Raw genomic sequence first — 19,690 nt, 5'->3', positions numbered from 1 at the left:
ATTATGGTTTGCAGAATACATTAGTTTAGGAAACAAATCAAAGTGATGACTTCTGTGACTGATTCCCGTTGTTTGACTGTGTCCTGTGGAGAACATTAAGCAGAAGTACAAGTGGTCTATTATCCCTTCATGGGGTTTTTGCAGAAATTTCCTGCCTCCTCCCTTTGTGTCTCCTGCAGTTTGGGATGGAGCAAGGATGGGAACTGGGCATTCCAAACCTGCAAAGAGTGTGATGTCTCTCCAGGAGTTACCTTATCTCTGATGATGATGGGGTTTTGTGAAAAATCTTAGCAAAATAAATATCATAGGTCATGTAATTTTTATGCTTTGATAATCTGTCTTTTAAGGGGATTGGGCTGTCCCAGTGAGAAACTAAATCCCAGAGTAGAGACAAATTTAAAGTCAGAATATATTTCAGAGGCCAGTTACTTTGTGGATATGAGGCTGAGACCTGTGAAGTAGATGACCTTTCCCAGATCATACAGTAAATCGGTGAGAAAACCAAGAGACAGAATTGAAATTTCTGACTTGCAGTCCATTCTGCGAGGTTGCCTCTTTCTACAGCATATTTATTTGTTTTTACAAAATTGTAAAAGAATGCCCAAACTTTTATACATGTAAGTAACTCTGTTGGATGATGTGGTACAGTGTACCATGGCTAAAAATGGGGTTCTGTGGCTTAGAGCAACTTAAAATCTTTACCCTTCCTTCATTTGTCTATAAAATGAGTGTTGTGAGTTTTCAATGGTTTTATACATACCTAACATGGCGAATGGAAGAGCTATTTTTTTTAAGCTGGAATTTGTAGACGGTATCGCATAACTAAGAAAATATCTTTCCAAAATATCTGCCCTGCATAGACCCAGCATCTGGTGATGTTTTTATTTCCTAAGTAGGAAAGCTTAAATGCAGAGAGACACTAAGTAAAGTTCCCTGACTTCAAATGTTCACACTATTCATTTTCAAAATCAGATGTGTCAATTCTAGCTCTTTGTGTATACAAGTACCAATGTTCTTACATCCTATCAATTTCTAGAAACACTCCATTGCAATGGAATTTGAGACACAGATGGGACTTCTTTGGGTAACTATATGGGAAGGCAGGAGAGAACAATGATTGAAGAAATGTGCTTTGAGTCAAGACGGTCTGGTTTCAAGTCCCGTCTCTGTTGAATACTACTATGTGGCCTAAAGAATGTTACTTATACTCTAAGCCTCAGTTTTCCTGTGTAAAAAATGAGACTAATAAATAGTATCTACATTTTTGGGTTATGGTGATAATTACCTGAGTTAGTGGAATAAAGTATATCACCCATTACTTGGCACATATTAAGGACTCAAAAATAATAACCATCAGTATTACTGTCTATCCTCACTCTTTACTCTTTAGTATAATTGAAACCTAGAGCAGTTCAGCAACTTGCCCAAGACCACACAGTCAGTTAGTGGTAAAATCAGAAACATTACCCAGATTTCCTAAATATCAATAGAAGATTGATTATTGCCTCTAGTCAGGAAAAAAAATTCAGCCTAAGGGTATAATGTAATCAACTAATCTCAAAGAGCAGTAATCTCTCTTGATTCCAATGAGTACTGCAAACTATAGGGGGAGCCATGAATGGGAAATGTTTTTTCTCAAACTTGTATCATGCCTAGATAACTTTTCTTAAAGGCTTTTACCTCATGAGTTAGAGAACTATGCAGAAAAGTCCCAAAGATATTAAATAACACAGTTTAGTGGTTTCCTCAGGGGAATCTTGGATATAGAAAGAGATAAAGGCATCTCTTGCTGATAAAAAGAGACAGCCTCAAGGGAGAAGTTTAAGTTGAATTCCATAAAGCCAAGGCTTATGACTTCATTGTTGCAAAGTCTCTGAAGGATGCAGGAGGAAAAAAACATATTTCAATTTATTTTATATCAAAGTAGTGGGTTGTCCCCGAAACTACAGTTTCTGGGGAACTATAGTTTTGGGGACAGCTGCAATCAGTTGAGCTTTATAAAAAGAATAGTGTTTGCCTTGTTAATGGAACTAGGGATACTAAGATACCATTTGGCTACCTATCGTCATAGGACAGGGTCTGGCCCAATGGCGTGATACAGCCAGCTTACACTGGCTTGTGAGAGGTGACTGCGCCTGTCTCTTCTCCAACTGGTGTTCAGTGACATCATGTTAACTCAAAATCAGCCGTGATGGGAGAACTTACACCACAGAAACTGACAAATGCTACAGAGTGGGGCTTTTCTCCCTCGTGCCACTAGGGATACTCCCTACATAAATCATCTTAGGCAGGTAGGAATGAGTGAGTATGAGTGTGTGTGTGTGTGTGTGTGTGTGTGTGTGACAGAGAGAGAGAGAGCACATGAGAGAACTACTTTCTTTTTATAAGTAGCCTGGCACTTTTCATGTGTTATGATTTAGAAATGACTTTTTAAAAGGCATATACTCCCTGAAATGAATTCTGAAAAAAATCTTATTTTCAGTTGAATTCTTCATGGTTTATTAATCTAATCTAAAACAAAACAACAAAACCACAAGGGCAAATCTTATTTGGGAAAAAATAATGCTAGCCATTAAAATATAAAAGATGCAGATATGAAAGTTAGAAACTTAGAAAAAGTGTATCTGGGAAGGTTTTTGGATTTTTGCCCTTTGTGGGCACTGAAATCCGGTGAGAGTCACAGAAATGGAGGAGACCTACAGCTTCATTGTGTAAATTACAAACTCCCAGCGGTTTCAATTTAAAAGAGGCTTGATCAATAAGCCATTGTGCTTCAGTCTCACGTGGAAGGTACTAGACAAGGTCCCAGTGCAGATGGAGGTTCAAATGTCTCTTTCATGATTGATAGAAAGGGAGGTGGGAGAACATTGGCCAATTCTGCTAACTGATTTGAGCTCACCTGCTCAGGTACCTGCAGTGCTGAAATAACTTGCGCCTCCTGCCAAGCATGGAAGCAGAAAAGAGTTGTTTCTGCAGATCACTGGGTCCCCAAGTGGAATGAACTGAGCCAGCAGGCCCAGAGCCTTCTCCTTAACTCGAATTAGATGCACCATTAATCTTTTCTCAGAAATAAAGGACAGGGAGAGGGTTACTTTAGCAGACGGTCCCTTTCTATAAAATAAAACATGAGGTGTGGGGAGTAAGTGTCCCCTCAACCTCATTATCACCCAAAGGAAAATATGAGTGTTATGAGAGCAGGAGACAGAGAGACCCAAGTTCAAATCCTGATCAATGACTTCCTGGTTAGGTGGTCTAGATAGGGTTTTACAGACTCTCTTGGCCTCAGGTTCCCCATCTGTAAACTGGGATGGTAATAGGCTGTGGTGAGATTTCATGGGGTGCTGCATGGAAAACCTTAGCCCAGCACCTAGTTTATGGCGAGTTCCCAATACAAGTCAGCTAGTGGGAAAATTATTGTGTATTGTACGTTGCGTGTAGCTTTGGAGAAGACAAACGGTAGCACAACTCATCACTATGGCTGCTTGCTCAATGAAGGCCTAATCATTTCTAAAGGTTGCAAACTACACTTGAAGTCTTAATTAAGGTTAATAAATTCCATGCTGATTAGAACAGTAACAACCACTGTCTTTTTCTGTGGGGCTACAGCTATTGAGTTGGAGAATATGACATTATTGCCAAGGTCAACATCTCCTTAATGCCAAATTTCAGTGGGAAATTAGGAGGTAAGTTGGACAGTTCTAGAGTCTCAGGCCCTTGCTAAAAAGTGCATCTTTCAACTTTCCTCCTAATTCAGCCATGGGGCAGTAGGTAATCAACACTTCAACCTCCTCAAGAAAAGAGAGAAATGTACCTTTCTACCTGATTGACCTTGAGACATACAGGAAGACGCTTAGGGAGGATTCTATGTTTTGGTCAAATGGTTATGTCTATGTAAAGATTCCTTGTGTGTATGTACTTTCCTTTTAAAATCTCAAAGACTTGTTCCTTATAGTTTAATGGTATCAAACTTAATTTGTTAAAAAAAATTTACCTTATTTACCTAACTTATCCCACATCATTTGAAATCAAAGAAATGTGGGCTCAGTCCTCCACTTACAAAAGGTGTAACTGTGGGCGAGTTAGTCTTTCTGAAACCCAGCTGTTCCCTTCTGTAAAACGGGATAATAGCATCTACCTCAACTGGTTGAGGATTAAATGAGATGCACATATGAAAGCCCTGGGTGCTTTAACCAATAAGAGCACCTCTTTTGTCTTTCCTTTTTACCTTAAAATGAGAAATAACCTTGTAAATTTCATGTGTTGATTTTGTAACAACAAACAAAATTTATTACATACATTATATTTTATAATTTAGTGGAACGGCTCTGACAAAATAAAAATAGCTGTACATTGTGCTCCCTAGGAAAAAAATGTTTAGCTGAGATGAATATAGAGCACTGATGAGTATTAATAAACTAGATAGTGGAGATTTCAAGATAATCATGTCTACAGCATTGGTAAAGGTGGGACTCAAAAATTGTTTAATGGAGAAAAGAAACAGAAAAACTGCAGTCCAAAATGTTTTAAATTTTACCATTGCTTTCATTTCATTTGCAAGTCTCTGATCCCATTTTTAACGTATTATAGAGTGAAGTTTGTATAAGATGATATAATTTTATTATAAAATATTAATAAAGCACCCACAGGCATTATGAAAATGATTGTTACCATATCCATCCTGAATTGAAGCAGATGAGTTAGTGAGCACTGAGGAATATTATGCCGGATATATTCGGGGCTGCCTTTTAATTCTGTTTGCCAAGGAAAATGCCGTAAAGGAAGAATAAAAGTGTTTTCTAGCCACTCATCTGCAATTAAAAGCAGTCCATCTTTTGATTATAAAGGTGAATTTCAGGGTATTATTTTCAGCTCTTTGTTGAAACAAGCACCTCCTCTCTCCATTAACCTCCTGAGAGAAGGTGGTCTGCCCTTACAACTTAAGGCACATCTTAGAGCCTTCCATGTAATTTACACATTTCAAGTTTGCTAATGGGTTCTTTATATCAAAACTACCATACACAGAAAATCTTTCTTTGAATCTTCATCTTGAAAGAGACATAGAAACCTGTGAAATCCTCTATAGCTACTATTAAAGAGAAGGTTATATTAAACTGTGACTAAGTTAAACGGAGTTAAACTTTTGAGGAGTCAGACTTTACCTAGAAACTTAATGACAAATGCAAGAGGATATCAAATTCAAATCCAATTTCTTTTTCCTCCCAGCCTTTTCAGATTAATGCCAAGAAAATATATGCAGAAGAGACACCCATGTCATTGAACAAGAGGTTCTAATATTACATAACAGGTAATGTAATTTCCCATTTTACTATTTGATAGTCCTGTCTATAGCATACTCAGAGGAACCCTTGGGGAGTTGAGGGATTTATGAGTTCCACAAATCTTTCTCAATGCTGCTACCTTATGTATCACATTTAAATATGGCTATTCTTCATTAAGAAAAATCAAACAACCACAATAGCCATGACAGCAACAGAATATTTATTGTGCTTCTCCTCCATTGTGCGATGCTTATTATATCAAAGGGTTTTTATGGTGTTGGAATTGTTCCTCCAGGGCAAATAGGTGACTAATGATTAGAAAGACTGGTCTATGGTCTATGCAAGGGGTCAGCAAACTATAGGACCAGACCCAACTCTTGTCTGTGGCTTGCTTTTGTAAATAAAGTTTTATTGGAACACTGCCATGCTCACTTGTTTGTGTATGCTGTTTTTACACTTTAAGAGCAGAGTTGGGCAGTTGAAGCAGAGGCTGTATGGCCTATAAAACTTAAAATATTTACCTTTACAGAAAATGTTGGCTGAGATCTGGTCTATGCTATCAAAATTACTGACGTAAGAAGGTATTTCCTTATCACCCATAAAGGAAGGAGCAAAACAGCAGCTTGCTCTTAACAGCCTATTTCCAGAGTTGTGTTACCCTTTATTGGTGCCAAAGAAAGGAGAGAAGTTTGCAAGGTGGTGTTACATTTAGAACAGAGTGTTTCACTGTAGTTACTTTATCACCAAAAAGACTCAGGCAGCAGTGAAAATGGGGATTTAAAGACACATTTGTCTGAGAAAGAAAAATGACATTTAGGTCCTTTAAGAAACAAGTAGATTCCAGTAAGAAAATAAAGTTTATTCAAATGAGTTACTTTTACTTGCTTCTCCAGGCAAGTAGCTGGAGCTTTTTTGATTTTATTTTCTTTCTTTTTTAGAGGACAGGTGATATTTCTCTTTATGAGTTATTAAATGTGTACAATTCCCTTTAGGTCACTGTGTTTCAGATAAAACCATTACTGTTTCTTTTTTGCAATGAACTTCTCTTTTTCATGATTAAATGTGATGCTCTCTATTAAATATATGAGTGAATTCTAATTTATTGCTGTTTGCTTATTTACTCACTCATTATGTATTTGATTTGTGTATATTCACTCAATATTATACAGTGTAGTAATTATCATATGTGTTTCTTCTGTTTATCTCACGGGTTGCTTTTTCTTCATCGTCTTTGATGGCTGCTGCTCTTCTCTCAGTCGTCTCAGTGGTGAAAGGCCCCACTCAATCCTCGGAGTGCTCCTCTATCACTCACTCCTTTGATGGTGTGTTCCAGGCCTGGCTTTAAAGTTATTGATGATTTACAAATTTATATCTGTAGCCTGATTCACTCTGTTGCCTTCTACACTCTTATATCCAACTTTCTATCTAACGTCTCCACTTATAGTCAATATTCATCTCACACTTAACATTTCCAAAACTGAATCCCCAATTGCAATGGTTTATTTTGTGTCAACTTGGCTGGCCAGTGCCCAGATACGTGGTCAAACATTTTCTGGATATTTCTGCAAATGTTTTTGAATGTGATTAACATGTAAATAGGCAGACTGAGAAAAGTGGATTACCCTCCCCTACTGTGGGAGAGCCTCATCCAATCAGTTGAAGGCCTGACGAGAACAAAACCCGACCTTCCCTGAGCAAGAAGGAATTCTGCAGCAGATGGCCTTCAGACTTGACCTGCAGCATGCCTCTTGCAGGGTCTCTGCCTGCAGGCTCACCCTGCAGATTTTGGACTTGCCAGTCTCCATAATCAAGCCACTTCCTTCAAAATAAAGAGCTTTCTCTGTAGACACACACACACACACACACACACACACACACACACACACACACAATTGTTTCTGTCTCTCTGGAGAACCTTAAATAATATGTCAATCTTCTATCTTAAATTTGTGCATGCTCCACTCTTCTTTGACCCAGTTAAGAACAATTCTTAATTCTGTTCTTTCACTTGCCCAGGTCAGAAATCTTGGAGTTATCCTTGACTCTGTCCCTTTCCTCCCACTCCACAATCAATCCACCAACAAATCCCACTGGCTTTGCCTTCAGAATGTAACCAGAGTCTGACCCCTTCTCCTCTCTACTACCTCCTCCTTGGTCTGAGCTGTGGTCACCTTTCCATTGGATTACTAGTTCTTCTAACTAGTCCCCCTGCCTCTGCACTTGTCTCCACATTGTCTCATCTCACAGCAGCTGGGGTGATCAAAATTATTTACTAATCCAGTGAAAACTCCAGTAATTCATAATCTCATTTGGAATAAAAGCCAATGTTCCTAAAGTAGCTTCTTTGCACTTTCTAGAATATTCTAGACTTGGTCCTGTCTCAGGGTCTTTGCACATGTTGTTCCCACTATACAGCATGTTCCTTACCCAAAGAGCCACATGCCTCATTCCCTCACCTCCTTCCAGAAATGGCTCAGATGCTATTGGTGCAAATGAAACTGTGGTTTCAGACCATGAATTTTAAATCATTATAACTAGGTTCAAACACATCTTTATTAATCAAAATAGGAACCATTTTAATCAACACATTTTTGCCAATGAGATATAAGTTTGTTTATCACTGTAGCATAAAAATCTGCTTTGGGATTCAATGAACTCTTGGAAATACTTTTCTGCATCCTGCTGGCTGTAGAAGCGTTTTCCCTGCAAAAAGTTGTTGAGATGCTTGAGGAAGTGGTAGTCAGTTGGCGAGAGGTCAGGAGGGTATGACAGATGAGGCAAAACTTTGTAGCCCAATTCATTCAACATTTGAAGCGTTGGTTGCGCGACGTGCGATTGGGCGTCATTGTTGAGAATTGGGCCCTTTCTGTTGACCAATGCCAGCTCAACAATGCCAGCTATAGGTGTTGCAGTTTTCGGTGCATCTCATAGGTTTGCTGAGCATACTTCTCAGATGTAATAGTTCCTCCAGGATTCAGAAAGCTGTAGTGAATTAGACCAGCAGCAGACCACCAAACAGTGACCGTGACCTTTTTTTAATGCAAGTTTGTATTTGGGAAGTGCTTTGGAGCTTCTTCTTGGTCCAACCACTGAGCTGGTTGTCACTGGTAGTCGTATGAAATCCACTTTTCGTTGCATGCCACAATCCAATCAAGACATGGTTCACTGTTGTTGCATAGAATAAGAGAAGACAACACTTCAAAACAAAGATTTTTCTTTTTTTATTTTCAGTCAGCTCATGAGGCATCCACTTATTGAGCTTTTTCACCTTTCCAGTTTGCTTTAAATGCTGAATAACCATAGAATAATTGATGTTGAGTTCTTTGGGAACTTGTTGTGTAGTTGTAAGAGCATCAGCTGCGATGGTTGCTCTCAACTGGTCTTTGTCAACTTCCGATGGCCTGGCACTCTGCTCCTCATCTTCAAGGCTCTCATCTCCTTTGCAAGACTTCTTGAACCATCACTGCACTGTACATTTGTTAGCAGTTCCTGGGCCAGGCCAAATGTGTTGTTGATGTTGGGAGTTGTCTCCACTGCTTTACAACACATTTTGAACTCAAGAAAATTGGTCGAATTTGATTTTTGCTACCATCATTTCCATAGTCTAAAATAAACATAAAATAAACAGCAAGTAATAAGTCATTAGCAAAAAAAAAAACATAAAGCAAGAAATGCCCACTAAAGTTATGTATAACATAACCACATTTAAGAATATAGTCCAATATCAAACAGCAAATTCCAACAAAGCAAAAACCGCAATGACTTTTGCACCAAACTAATACTTTTGCAGAGACCTTCCCTAACTACCTAATTTATAATTGCTCCTCACTCTGCAACTTGTATTCTCTGTCTCCCTGCCATGCTTCATGTTTCTCTACTGCTTTATCAATTTCTAATATATCATAGAATTAACTACTTTTGTGTTCATTCTTTTCTTATTTGGTGTTACTTTACAATAACTTGTAATAATTACAAATATGCATTAAAACATACAAAATAATGTGTTATTTTGCAACATATTATTATCTATTTCAGCTATTTCTCTTTCATTCCATTTCTCCTGCCCCACTGGAAAATCAAGCCTATGGAGGCAGGAATTTAGTTTAATTTGTTCATTGTATTCTATTACCTAGAATAGAGCCTAGAACAAAGTAGTTGTTCAATAAATCAAATAAATGTCTCCAATCGCCTTCTGTATGCATGGTTCTTTACTGGGATGTTGGGACTACAAGAGCATTGTGAGACATGATTCTTACCCTTCAATTATTTATTATTTGGCTGTCCCAACTAACATTTTTTCTAGAAGAATACAGAGAAAATTATTCCTCTATGACTGGAGGGAAAGTGCTCAAAAACATACTCAACAGAAAGAATTAAATGTCCAGGTATGTGGAGCAATATTTGATTATCTGAAGGAAATAAATGCTGAAGGATTTCAGAGAAAGCACTAAAGTGTTGGAGAAAGACTCCATGAGGGAGAAGGACAAAGGAGGAGGGTTCTGAAGTACGGGAGAGTTGAAATAGGAAAGGGCTATTGTGGGACAGGGAGGTGAGATCTGCTCTACGCGGGCTGGTTCGTGGTCCCAGTGATTGTCTTGTGCTTTTTATCTTCCAAGCTGTAGGCCTTAGGACTCAGACCACATCCTTCTCTTCCTTGAAGATGCTGTTCACCACTACCACCAGCAGCACCAGCATATCTGTTTAATCCAGAGGTTCTTTCTTCATTAGGCCTTCTGTGTAAAAGAAGAGGGTTTTAAGATTTATCTGATAGAAAGATGGTTGGAGGCTGGGAATGATTTCAAATGGCAGTTGCAATAGCACGGAGGGATGTGAGATGATAATGGTGTGGCCTAAGGAGATAGCATGGGAAGGAAGAGGATGGATTCTCGTGGGTGGTGGGGGAGGCAGGATAAACTAAAAATGTGCAGGGTTTGGTGATTCGTCTGGCTACTTGTGATTCGAAGAGGACAGGTGATGTCATTAGTAGGGATAAAGAAGGAGGAAGGAATGATTTATTTGCATTTGGAGGTGTTCACAAGTTGTCTATAAGACATGTTACATGCAGGGTAACCATGGAACAGGCAAACAGAAATAAATGCCTTTACAGTGAGTTGTGTGTCTGGTGATGACATCCTAGGCCTGGAGTTAAGCATTTGATGGCTTTCTAGTCACAGGTGACAGTTACAGCAATGGTAAGATACAGGGCAAGAGTTTAAATAAAGGGAATGAGAAGTCAAAGACAAAGCTTTTGGGGATCCCCAGGGTTTGGGGTCCAGATGAAGAAAAGGAACCAGCATGGAAAATGGAACTGAGCAGTGAAACAAGCAGGAGAAAAGTCAGGGCTGAGTAGTTTAATTGATGGAAGTCAAGCCAGCACGAGTGTCTACGCGCGTTAAGCAATGATGAGCCTTTAGGGAGAACAAGAACCGAGAAACTATATGGGCCATGAGTTTTGTCAAGATAAAGTGAAGGTATTTGGTTAAAGTGAAGATAAGAAAGGGTTAACTTTAAAGCAGAGGACTGAATGGTTTCCCTCTGAGATAGGAGGGTAAAAGATGATCTTGGTGTTAAAGGTGGGGAAAGCGTGGCAGGAGGAAAGGAAGTGATTTTGTCGGGGCCTTTTTGTCACTGAGGGGTAGCTGTGGGAGCTGATCTGAGTTCTCTAAGGCCTTGTCCAGAAGGAGTTTCGTGCACAGGTGTGTGCTCCAAGGCTTAATGCCTGGAGGTGCAATTTTTATCCTCAGCTCTTAGAAAATGAAAGCTGGTTCACCAGGCAACCAAGGGAGGTCATTGATTTTTCTCTTAGAAGTGGGCTCCTTCTTTGCAGCTGGAAGGAAGTAGAAATGTGAGTCCTATCATCACTTTGAATCACTGAAAATCTCTGGCGGATTTTCTCAGCAGATGGTCCATTAATGTACATATTCTCACCAAAATGCAAGCTAAGATAATAAATTTAGTGGACAGATTTTCTATCTCTTCTTCCCCTTTCTCCCTCCAATGTGTTTTTTCTCCCTCCTTTCCTGTTACTTTATTTTTTTCCTTCTTCTAAAGTCATTTGCTTGCTGGACTGCGGATCAACGGGCTTCTGAAAGAGTCTCTACCAGACAGGGGTGCTGCTAGCTGAGCATGTGTTCAAAACTATCTCAAAGGTGATCTCTTGGGAGAAAAAAAGAGATAGAACATATCTATAGACCCACTGTGTGGCTCCAATTTCCTCTTTCTGTGTTCTGGATGGGCTGGAGTCTGTCTTATTTCATTCTTTTGACTGTTTGCCATTAACCCCTGAAGACGAGAAGAGAAACTATTGTCTTGGAGACTCAAATGTGGTCAGGGGGGCTTCCTTCGCGCTACGCTATCTTGAGACCAGACTCGGTTCTTACCCAGGCACCACCCAAGCTCTGGCAAGCAATGTTGGTGTTACTGATGCTTTCAAGAGAAATTAGAGTAAAACTATATATTTGCATTCCACAGGAAAAAAAAAACTCATAAAAATCATCTGAATACTTCTCTGCTTTTTCTTCTTTTGGATTATTTTCTCCCATGACTCCTGTTCTGAGCAACCTTTTCAGTGGCGGCTTTAGCTTTCCCTCCCTTCCAGCTCATACTCTAGCCCTCTCCCATGGTCCTCTTCTTAGTAGAATAATTTAGCTCTCTGCTTCTCCATTTGCAACCTCATGCTTTCCGCCTCTCTTAGTCAACAATGAACGTTACTTGGGCTGAATCCACCCTAGACAGCAAAGGGTCTGAAAATGATCAGTTTGTATTTGTGCATAGGATATTGACACACAAGATCATTTTGGAAGTCTCTTATTTAGTGATAAGCCTTTATCATTGAAGTTATATCAGAGTCCTGCTCCACCGTTCACACACAGGGGAGCAATAAGGAAGTTAGAGAAATATGGCCATTGGGTTTCGATGAAAACCATACGTTTTTGAGAAAATCAGCCATGGAAACATAGAGTATCAAAGTTTCTTGCAATGAGAAAACAGAGGCAAAACATTACATTTTTTTTTTTTTTCATTTTACTTCAATTTCTGGGATACATGTGCAGAACATGCAGGTTTGTTACATAGATATACATGTGCCATGGTGGTTTACTGCACCTATCAACCTGTCATCTAGGCTTTAAGCCTCACATACATTAGGTGTTTGTCCTAATGCTCTCCCTTCACGCCCACCCACCAAGGTGAGTGTTGTTCTCCTCCCTGTGTCCATGTGTTCTCATTGTTCAAAACATGTGGTGTTTGGTTTTCTGTTCCTGTGTTTGTATGTCTGGTTCTAGATCCTTGAGGAATCGCCATACTGTCTTCCACAGTGGTTGAACTAATTTACACTCTCACCAACAGTGTAAGAGAGTTCCTATTTCTCCACAGCCTCACTAGCATCTGTTGTTTCCTGATTTTTTAATAATCACCATTCTGACTGACGTGGGATGGTATCTCATTGTGGTTTTGTTTGCATTTCTCTAATGATCAGTGATGCTGAGCTTTTTTTTCATATGTTTGTTGACCACATAAATGTCTTCTTTTGAGAGGTGTCTGTTCATATCCTTTGCCCACTTTTTGACTGTCTTTTTTTCTTGTAAATTTGTTTAAGTTCCTTGTAGATTCTGGATTTTAAACCTCTGTCAGATGGGTAGATTGCAAAAATTTTCTCCCATTCCGTAGGTTGCCTGTTCACTCTGATGCTAGTTTCTTTTGCTGTGCAGAAGCTCTTTAGTTTAATTAGATCCCATTTGTCAATTTTAGCTTTTGCTGTGATTGCTTTTGGTGTTGTCGTCATGAAGTCTTTGCCCATGCCTATATCCTGAATGGTATTGCCTAAGTTTTCTTTTAGGGTTTTTATGGTTTCAGGTTTTATATTTAAGTCTTTAATCCATCTTGAGTTAAGGTGTATATATTTTTGCATAAGGTGTAAGGAAGGGGGTCCAGTTTCAGTTTTTTGCATATGGCTAGCCAGTTTTCCCAACACTATTTATTAAGTAGAGAATCCTTTTCCCATTGCTTGTTTTTGTCAGGTTTGTCAAAGATGAGATGGTTGTAGATGTGTGGTGTTATTTTTGAGGTCACTGTTCTGTTTCATTGGTCTATATGTCTGTTTTGGTACCAGTACCCTGCTAAAACATTACATTTTTAAAACTGCTGGGCAAGACAACTAGTGGTAACATACGGGTGTTGGAATGGAAGGAATTGATAGGAAATTATCATGTCTTGCGGCACTGCAGAAGTATGAAGTAACTAACTCAGGGAAATGTATTTTTAAAAACACAGCTTAAACAGTTTCTGTGAAACATTCTTAGGGAACTGAGGGGTCTGTAGGAGGTAGAGATTAGAGATTGCAAATACAGTGCCCACATGCAATGCACACACATCAATGCCAGCCTCCAGCTGTATGTGTGCATGTGTGTGCACATGACAGGCAGAGATTAGAGACTGCCAATACAGTGCCCACATGCAATGCACACACTAACCTCAGTGCCAGCCTCCAGCTCTGTGTGTGTGTGTGCGTGCACATTCCAGACAGAGATTAGAGACTGCAAATACAGTGCCCACATGCAACACACACACTCACCTCAGTGCCAGCCTCCAGCTCTGTGTGTGCACATGTCACTGTGGTTGATCATGTCAGGGTTTCTATCATGTGCTTCCATCGTTTTCCTGTCACCACCACGAGAGCCCTGGTTTGCTGTTCCTGGTCAGGATGCCACATTTTGATCAGTGTGTAAAAGAAGTTTTAATTACAACTGAGAGTACATGTGATTTGAATAGGTCTCGAGTAGAACATTGAGCTGATGGACTCTTCCATTTACATTAGAATAATGCTTTCTAAACCATGGATTATGAAATCAACTTACTGAGTTCTAACCATTTCCAAAATAAAATGAATGAAAATGCAAACAGGAGACTGCTTTCTATATACAAGGGAGACATTGTGTCATGAAACTTTTCTCTGTGTACAGTGGGTCTTGGTGTAAAATATATTCTTTGTTATAAGCCATCAAAGAAAAAAACGAGAAACACTAGGTAGAGGACCAATCATGTGTTTACATATATGCAACACATTTTGCCTTAAAAGTATAAAATAGAGCTTTTATTTTTCCATACACACATTAAAAAAAAACATGACCCTAGTGGGTCATAAAATCAATTTAGTAGGTCACAACAGGCATTATTAAAGACAAAGGAACAAAATAGAATAGAAAATATCAGAGCACTTTTTTATACCTGCTATATCATAAGACTTGCTTCTGTCATGCACACACATGAAACCTACATGTATGAGTAAGCTGGGATATGATATAACATATGTTCCCTAACTAGTCATGTAACTTTTAGAGACACTGTCATAGCCTATTCAGGGCAATGGACAATTTTACTCAGAGAACGCTCCATTGCTGAAGGGCAGTCGAGTGAATGGCACGCTGACTACAAACACAATTTAGTTCCTGCAAGCATCCTGCCCCAAACCCCAGTATTCTAAGGGTATCCAGAAAAATATCTCAACAAAAATGTCAAGCCCCACTGTTGCAGAGAGAAAGAGAACGTTTTTCTGTCTTCACCTTGTCCAGTTGGAGATGATGAGGAAATCTCTTCTGCTTTTTCTTCAGTGCTGGTAAATATTGAAATAACTAATGTTGCTTTTTGGAAGCTGATGTTAAGACCAAGTTTGGGATGCAAGATGCTGGCTAGGGATCAATAGCTGTGATGGGAGGGAGGAAGCAGAATGGGACAGAGGAAGTCAGGTGCCATGGAACCCAACAAAGGCTCAGGGAGCTCTGGAGTGAGTGGTGCCATTCAGGGTGCTCAGCAGAATTGGGCAGCGTTTCACACCCGGTCACCAGATGCAGGCTGTTCCTGGAAGGGAATGCGCCTGGGTTGGGGCACCATCTGCAGCTGAGGTGAGCCTTAAAGGAGCTGATGTCTGAGGCTGTCTGCCGACCACACTCCACAGCAAGTCCCTCCTTGAAGAGGGATCTGGGCAGCAAGTTTCCGCCATGACTGAAGAAGCCACATATTGTCCATGGATTGAGTATGGCTATAGATGCAAGGGTGGGTGGAGAGCCTGTCGTGGAGGAATGCCGAGAATTCAGTTATTCTTGAGCAGTGCCTGTTCATTCACCTAGATGTATTTGGTTGCTTTGTATCCCGGCTGTTGTCGGGAGAATGGACCCATACAAGGCAATACACTCATTCGTTTATTTACTGGACACAAACTCGTTAAGCAGGAGAACACTGTGTTGGTGGGGTTCCATTATGAGATGCCCTCTCTCAAGAATGCTCAATTTCTGAGCATTCATCTTTAATTTCTTACAGCAAGATTAACAATTGTTGCACATTTTAGGAATTTACAATTTTATAAGCTTCCAAAGCATATGTTATCTTATTTAATCATCGGAATGCCGTGAGGCAAGAATCATCAGTAATATCATTTTAAAAATGAGAAACTCAAGGTCAAATAAGTCAAACCACTCAATCAGTTTGTCAGTGGCTAAGGTGGGGCTCTGTGTTTTGTTCCTATGATTTTATTTTTATTTTCATTTTTATTTTTTTGACACTAGGTCTTACTCTGTCACCCAGGCTGGAGTGCAGTGGTGCAATCATAGCTCACTGGAGTCTTGACCTCCCGGGCTCAAGTGAGCCCCCTGCCTCCACCTCCAGAGTAACACCTACAAGGGTGCACCACCATACCTGGCTAAGTTTAAATAAATTTTATAGATATGGGGTCTTGCTATGTTTCCCAGACTGGCCTCCAAATCCTGGGCTCAGGCGATCCTCCCACCTCGGCTTCCCAAAGTGCTGGGATTATAGATGCGAGCCACTGCACCTGGCCCCTCTGATTTTATATAATTTGTTTTCTTTCTGCTGTATTATTTTGTTTTTACAGAAAGCTGAAATCTGCATCCCTACAGCTTCTATATCTTATCCAGGTTCAGTTCCCTGGATTTGTTAGAACAACAGTTCTAATTGATGCTTCTTAGGAAACTGCTCTGTGGGAATGGTTTGTTTCTGTCCCACCCGGCCTCAGCTGCTTGAATCGGGGAATTAGAATCATCTGAAGTTCTGCACACCCTGTGCCTGGGATCTGGCTACGAAGATCAAGGCACTGAGGTCTTGAATCCCTCGGGCCCCTCAGGCACAGCTACCTCTATGGGCTCTCTGTAACAGGGCAGCTTCTGGGTGGTCAGCATCCTCCACGGTGGCTCAGGGCTCCAGAGATACCTGTCCCAAGAGAGAACCAGGCAGAAAGCTAGCCACAGAAGTCACAGGGGGCCACTTCTGATGCATCTTATCCCTCACAAGCAAGTCGCTAGATTGATCCCTATTCAGGGAGAGGGAAATTAGACTCTACCTTCTGTGGGAAGAGTGCCAAAGGACTTGCAGACAATTTAACAACCATCCCACCTCTTTTGTATCTTTTGCTTCTTATCACCTCCCATGTCTGGGCATTAGTGTGCCCATGGATGTGGTCCTGTCGCTTCCAACCCACTGGCTGGCCCCCGGTTTCTGGCTTTTCTTCATTTCTGGTTTGACCTTGTGCAGCTATCACTGTCTTGTTTGCCTGTACCATGTCTCTTTCCGGGTGAGAAGGATAATTTTTGACTGCAGCATCAATCAGCAGAAGGAATACCATCTTGTGACATTTCCTCTCCTCCCAGCTCTCAACAGGTGAACGATTGAGTGGGGGTGAATATGAGGGGTAATCCCACAAAAGGCTCTGAAATTACCCAGAAACTCGTGACCCCACAGATTTGTGCCCTGGGCAGATGACCCAGGGGTACAGCTTGACCGAAACAGGTGTACAGGTAATCTCCTAGCGCCCCCCAGCAGCACAGGGACAGATACTACCTCCAGACAGACCCCCTTCCTGTGTTTAGAGGAGATGGCATCTATTTATAGAACTGACTCATCAGTCTCTGCTTGAGGTAGTGGGGGTATCAGAGATCCAATTTATTTCTTTTATTATTATTATTATACTTTAAGTTCTAGGGTACATGTGCACAACCTGCAGGTTTGTTACATATGCATACATGTGACATGTTGGTGTGCTGCACCCATTAACTCATCGTTTACATTAGGTATATCTCCTAATGTTATCCCTCCCCCATCCCCCCACTCCACGACAGGCCCAGTGTGCGATGTTCCCCACCCTGTGTCCAAGTGTTCTCATTGTTCAATTCCCACCTATGAATGAGAACCAACACAAGCACTTATCACTTGCACTGTTGCTGTAAGTGGGCTGAGAGCTAGTCACATAGAGCATATTTAGTGCAAAGAAAGTAATTCACCGAGTCCAGCTCTCCTGTGGTTAGTGGACTTCATACCTAGGCTTGCCTCCTGTAAGCAGAACATAAACAGCCCATTCAAATTAAGAGCTTGTTGAGAACCCACATGGCTGTAACCAAGGCAGCAGCAGCGGCTGCGGCCGCAGCCTCAGAAAGCAAGTGAAGATTCTATTATTTCCCTGGTATTCATAAAAGGGCCACTTTACAACTGTGATCTCAACATGTGTAGAGATTTCACTGAATTTTAAATTTCAGGGCCGACTTTTACAAACAGACATTAAAACTAATAGCTGTGTGCCTGGTGCTTTGAAAGCAAAAGGTGTATTGAGGCAGGATTTGTGCAAAGCTCGTGGGGAGTCACAACAGAGAAAGAAAATGAATATGCAAATGCATAAACAAAAATCCTCTTCATGTGGAATGTTATTACAGATCCACATGGAGAAAGGAACCTTTAAAACGACCATTTCTCTTTGTTGCATGGCTCAAGATGGCTTGGAACTGGGAATCCAGGAGGCATTTTCAATGCATTTTCCATGGTCCCTTGTGAAGAGAAGGGGTGGGTGGAGATTGTGCCAAAGCTGTGCTGTACCAGTCTACCCTGGGTCTAGGGCTGTTTTGGTTTCCTAAATGGACTGTGGGATGAAGAGTGGTTTATTCATTTTCAAACAAAGCCAAGTTTGTGAGCAGCAGACTGATTCCATTCAAAAGGCCAGAGGAGAGGTCAGAACCTACCAGAACTAAACTCACTAGAGACACATGCAAAGGGATGTATTCAACCCCCAGCCCCACCTTCCCATACACACACTCAGGTGTGTGCAACATTGGTATAGCTTGAGCACTGGCTGATTGAGTGTGAGTATAGAAAAGAAAAGACCTAAAGGTTGCAGTGACCCACGGTGTGAAAATCAGCCACAAAACCTCATTGTAGAGCAAGAGACATTAAAAACAAGTGCATTAAACCTGTTTTATTTTCAATAAAAAATTAGGGAATCTCCCCTGCACCACAAAAGCTAATTTCTCAATACTACAAATTGAGGGTTCTTTCCTTTCTTCACTCCTGCCATGTGAGATTGCAAAAGAATTTTAAGGGCATTTTCTCTAACCCATTCTGTTCAAAGCAGGGCAGTTTCTCAGATTTGGGCCCACAGTCTAGTGGGGTCTAATATAGGACTGTGGGCCTTAGACCAGGGGGAATACTGAGAAGCCATGTGCAGATGGACCTGTGGCTTTGCTGCCTGATAGATTGGCATTGTGCAAGCTACATTTGTCCAGTTCCAGGACTGAGCTTCTGCCTCATCCAGGTCCTCATGGTGGGATTTGAGTATCTCAGCCCATTTGGATGCAGCTCTGAAAACATTCCTGGTCCTTGTCAGTGCCCTCTCCTGAAGAAGGTGATTTTTTTCAGCAAGTGGCTGAGGACTGATTCACACCAGTTTCCAAAACTTGCCTTGGTCTGCAGTCTCTTGATGTTATGCGTCACACGACAAGTTGGATTCCCAAGAGCATTGGGTTTAAGACTCCTGATCCCCCATCTCCTTTCCAGCCAAATCTAGTGCTGGGTTCCTCCAGCATCAACCACCTGTTCCTGCTGGTTTATTTTCTTCTCCAGGGAAAAAACAAAGATAATCAATGAAAGTTGCAAAGGGGAGCTTTGGCTTATTTTTGTCCCTCTACCTATCAGAGAATACCTTCTTCTCTGAGAGATATAATTCAAAGGGAAAGTTTGATTCCCATTGCCAGTGTTTGCAGTAAGAGGAGAGAAGGGGCAGCCTCAGCCCTGGCTGGGTTGTTTTGAAGCTCTATATTAAAATTCTTATTGCCACCCTAGTAAGATTGATAGTAATCACCATAAAGACCATCTATCATTAGTTGTCCTGAGGCTGCGATGTAACAGGAGTGAAATTAACTTCAGCTCTCATCTTCCTCCACACTTCCTCTGGGTCCCTGGTGAGGTCTGAGCCTCAGGAGTACTTGTAGCAGGGTGGAGTATTCTCATTCCCCACTTGCCAGGAAAACTGTAGGGAGGGCTTGTCTTCCTGTGCCTTCAGCCAAGGAGAAGTTAATCAGGCTAGAAATTGCATCTCTCAGATTTCTGGAAAAACTCATTCAAAGAACATCTTTACTATG

General features: G+C 40.8%; 1 long non-coding RNA gene across 1 annotated transcript in view; it reads left to right on the top strand.

Annotated features, from left to right (window-relative positions):
- The window catches only part of LOC105376387 (uncharacterized), a 294,200-nt gene that overhangs the window by 100,590 nt on the left and 173,920 nt on the right, over window positions 1-19,690 (top strand). Inside the window, exon 2 of the long non-coding RNA NR_188183.1 lies at window positions 5,224-5,305. This is a non-coding gene — a long non-coding RNA (uncharacterized LOC105376387). The remainder of the gene's footprint in view (window positions 1-5,223; window positions 5,306-19,690) is intronic.

This window comes from Homo sapiens, chromosome 10, assembly GCF_000001405.40.
Source record: "Homo sapiens chromosome 10, GRCh38.p14 Primary Assembly".
NCBI classification, from domain to species: Eukaryota; Metazoa; Chordata; class Mammalia; order Primates; family Hominidae; genus Homo; species Homo sapiens.
The sequence above is the reverse complement of the archived record's forward strand: the minus strand, read 5'-3'. Positions and strand labels throughout refer to the sequence as shown.